This window comes from Homo sapiens, chromosome 9 (assembly GCF_000001405.40).
Source record: "Homo sapiens chromosome 9, GRCh38.p14 Primary Assembly".
Classification (NCBI taxonomy): Eukaryota; Metazoa; Chordata; class Mammalia; order Primates; family Hominidae; genus Homo; species Homo sapiens.
Genome location: NC_000009.12, coordinates 32942970 through 32947719, shown reverse-complemented (window position 1 = coordinate 32947719; position 4750 = coordinate 32942970). Strand labels below are relative to the sequence as shown.

Genomic DNA, 4750 nt, shown 5'->3' with positions numbered 1-4750 from the left:
TTTGAAGAAGACGAAATAAAACTATTTATGTTTGTCTATGTGACTTCATTGTTTGCCTAGAAAACTCGAGGGACTTTAGTAATAAACTATTTGAATTGTAGGTCATTTTGGAAAAGTGGGCAGATGCAAGATAAATATACAAAAAGCACCAACTTCTCTCCGTATTAGCAGTAAGTACTTTGAAAGGAAATTAGAAAACTATTTTATTTTCTACAGTTTTATACAAGCTTAAAATACTTAGGAGTGTAATTTAAAAAAATCTTTTAATTGTCATTTTATAGCTCCCCACCGCAGCTGCCCCCACCCTTCCCTTCGATGACGACGTTTGCAGGGTTCAGGGCGACCAGGGAACAAAGCTGGGGCCTGGCAGACCCACTATGCTGCCAGCTGGAGAAAACAAGTCACAATGACAAATTATCACAATTAGCACCTGTACTTGGGGGAAAAAATCTGCAAATTGGGGAAGCCCCAGCTCCTCATTGTACAGGGGTCTGTTTGGCAGTGACCTTGCTCTGGAGATGACATTCCTTCAGCCTGAGGGAATCGACGTTGATGAACCCGTGGCATCAATCGGCTCATAATCCCCCTGCACGTTCATGCTCACCAGCTCCTCGTTGTAGAGAGACAGTGGGGACTCCCGACCGAGGATATACACCTGGCCCTTGAGGACAGACACCTGCACTTTCCCTTCCACTCATTCCTGGGACTTGGCATTACAGTGGCGGACAAATTCACACTCAGGGCTATGCCAGAAACCGGTATACACCAGCTCAGCAAATTTCAAGCTCAGGCCTTGTTTGATTTTGCGCACTTCTCGGTACATGGTGAAGGCCTTGATGTCTAAATGAGTGTGGTGAAGGATGGTCCCTGCTGGGGCCTCGCAGATACCTCAGGACTTCATTCCAATGAAGCGGTTCTCCACGATGTCAATACGGCCCACGCCGTGCTTGCCTGCAACTTCATTCAGGTACACGAAAAGCTCCAAGGAGGTCTGGTGGGTGGTGCCATCCTTGACGTTGGTCACCTTCACGGGGACCCCTTTTTTGAACTTGATCTCGAGAATGTCAGGGGTGTTGAGGGCTTTGGCTGGGTCCTGGGTCTTCATGTAGAGACCTGGAGGCACTTGGTTCTTGGGGTTCCAGGATTCCAGCCTCATAGCTGATGTGCATGAGGTTCTCGTCTATGCTTCACGGGCTCTGGGGAGTGACTGGAATGGGAACCCGATGTTGCTTTGCCTATTTCATCAGGTCATTGCAGCCCTTGAACCGGTTGTAGAACTCGGGCATCCTCCAGGGAGCGGTGACCTTTATCTGGGGGGCCAGCAAATAGCAGGTGAGCTCAAACCGGACCTGATCATTTCCTTTTCCCGTGGTGCCGTGGAACACATACTTGGCCTCCTCCTGCTTGGCGATTTCCACTTGTTTGCCGGCGATGCCGGGCCTGGCCAGAGAGGTGCCCAGGAGGTAGCGGTTCTCATACAGTGCGCTGGACTGGATGGCCGGCCAGATGAACTCCTCCACAAACTCCCTGCTGGCATCCTCAATGAACACCTTTTTGGTCCCAAGCTTCAGTGCCTTCTTCCAGGCTTCCTCGAAGTCTTCCTTCTGGCCAGTGTTGGCCAGGTAGGCAATGATGTCATAGCCTTGTTCCTTCAGCCACACGAGGATGCAAGAGGTGTCCGGGCTGCCACTGTAGGCCAGAACCACTGAGCCTTTGCTGGACATAGCATCTGGGATTGGAGGCTCGAGTTCCTGGCATCTGCCATCTGTCTTCATGGTACGGTGAACCACTCGGGCTCAGGGAGCGGTGGCAGGCGACAGAGCAGGGAGTATAATTTCAAAATACCAAACCATCCACAAAAACCCAGAGAATAGTACCCATAACCAGCTTCAACAATCGTCAATATTCTGCCCTTCTTGTTTCATCCTGCCTCTCCACCTTACCTACTGTAGTACTACTTTAAAGCAAATTTCAGAAATCAAAATAGTTTCACCTTGACAGTAAAATTAATAAGATATAAGACCTATTTAAAGTTATAAAAGCTCAATTAAAATTATAAATGTTATCTGAACAAATGGAAAGACATCTCATGTTCTTTAATGACTTGGAAACATAAAATCTATTTAAAGATTTTTAAAAATTTATTTATTTATTTATTTTCAGAGACAGGGTCTTGCTCTGTTGCCCAGGCTGGAGTGCAGTGGCAGGAGCATAGCTGTACTGCAGCCTCATACTCCTGGGCTCAAGGGATCCTCCTGCCTTAGTTTCCCAAGTAATAAGGAATACAGGCACGCACCACTATACCCAGCTAATTTTTTTTAAAGACGAGGCCTTGCTATGTTGCCCAGGATGGTCTCAAACTCCTGGCCTCAAGAGATCCTCCTGCCTTGGCCTCCTGAAGTGTTAGGATTAGAGGCATGAGCCACGGTACCCAGGCCTGAATTTTTAAATATAAACCCAAAAGCACAGGCAACAAAAGTAATAATAGACAAATGGGATTGTATCAAACTAAAAAGCTTCTGCACAGCCAAGGAAATAATCTACACAGTTAAGAGACAACCTACAGAATGGGAGAAAATATTTGCAAACCATACATCTGATAAGGGATTAATATCTAAAATAATAAGGAACTGAAACAACTCAATTGTAAGAAAACAAATAATGCAATTAAAAAATGGTCAAAGGATTTGAATAGACATTTGTCAAAAAAAGACAAACAAGTGACCAAGCACAGTTATCTTTTGGGATCTGTAGGGGATTAATTCCAGAACACCCTGCGGATACCCAAATCTGCTGATGCTCAAGTCCCTGATATAAAATGATAACAGTATTTGCATATAACCTACACACATCCTCCCATATACTTTTATTTTTTTATATAAAGACGGGGCTTCACCATGTTGGCCAGGCTGGTCTTGAACTCCTAGTCCCAAGTGATCCTCCCGTCTCGGCCTCCCAAAATGCAGTGATTACAGGTGTGAGACATCATGCCCAGCCCCCTCCCATATACTTTAAATCATCTCTGGATTACTTATAATACCTAATAAAATGTAAATGCTATATATGAATACTATCCAGCTTCAAGAAGGAAGGAAATCCTGCCATTTGTGACACCCTGGATGAATCCAGAGGACATTATATTAAGTGAAATAAGTCAGATACAGAGAGACAAATACTGCATAATCTCGTTTGTACGTGAATTCTAAAGAAGTTGAACTCATAGAAGCAGAGAGTGGAATAGTGGTTATCAGGCTGAGAATTGGGCGTTGGGGAGATGTTGGTCAAAGGATACAAAATTTCAGTTAGGAGGAATAAATTCAGGAGATCTATTGTACGGTATGGTGAATACAGTTAATATCAATGCATTGTGTTCTTGAAAATTGCTAAAAGATTAGATTTTAAGTGTTCTTACCTCAAAAAAAATAGGTATGTGAAGTAATACGTTAATAAGCTCAATTTAGCTACCCCACAGTGTATACATATTTCAAAACAATATATTGTACACAATAAATTATATAATTTTTGTCAATTAAAAATATTAGAAAAAAATACATTGGGCCAGGCATGATGGTTTATGCTTGTAATCCCAGCACTTTGAGAGGCGGAGGCAAGAGGAACTCTTGAGGCCAGGAGTTCAAGTCCAGCCTGGGCAACATAGACCCAGTCTCTACAAAAATTAAAAAACTAGGTGAGTGTGATGGCATGTGCCTATAGCCCCAGCTTACTCAGGAGGTTGAAGTGGGAGGATCACTTGAACCCAGGCGATCAAGGCTGCAGTGAGCCATGTTCATGCCACTCCACTTTAGCCTGGGCAGTACAGCCAGAGCCTGTCTCAAAAAACAAAAACAAAAGTAATTGGTTACCTCAGAGGGGTAGGTTTGGAAGATGTGGGGTATGGACGGGGCTGATTAAGTTTTTTTTTTTTTTAATATATCCCTGTATTGCTTCATTTTGTGCACAATCTTTAATACTTTTATAATACAAAAAAGAGAAATTTTAAAAATGTGTTTGCTCTATCTCCAATGTCTAGAACAGTGTTTGGCACATATTTGGCATTCAATAAATGTTGGTTGCATAAATAAACAAATGGATTTTGTTAACATTTGTTGAGTACCTGCAGCGTGGTAGGCATTGGACAGCAGGTACTGCCTCGTATTTGTGTGGTCTATAAACCATTTGAGTTAATTGGATTCTGGTATATCAGAGAGCAAACTACATGCCTTCAAACATAACAAACGGAGACAAAGTTACAGCTACTCCTCTAGCTAAAGACACTACCCCTGCTCTCTGAGTGCATCATAAGGATCCTACTGATGTTTATTTCATATCTTTGATATACAGGCACACACCGTCCACACTTCAGGCAATCATTTACACACTGAGTGGGAGTGTGATAAGGGCATGTGGAGTAGGAGAAGTTTTCTGATCCGAACTTTACTGACTGCGCTAGAAAACCCTGATGATATCCTTTCCAGTGTTTCTAAGAACAATTCTTCCATTTCTAAGCATGATTCTTCCATTTCTAAGCAGCATGTTGTCTGTTTACTTATGATTATTTTTTACTTGTTATCTGTAAATGTTGGGGTGATCAGACCCAACACCAGGTCGTGGGGGCAACGAAGTCCTGCTGAGTCAAAGGAATGAGAAAAAGACAGTTTGAGAGAGAAAGTCGGACCAGGGGGCCATCCTGAGTGTGGAGCCTGTGAAGGCCCAGAGCTTTGGGAGCCCACACTATTTAGTGGTGCTCAAA

General features: G+C 43.4%; 1 pseudogene; it reads right to left on the bottom strand.

Moving 5' to 3' along the window:
- ASS1P12 (argininosuccinate synthetase 1 pseudogene 12) lies at positions 260 to 1826 on the bottom strand (annotated as a pseudogene).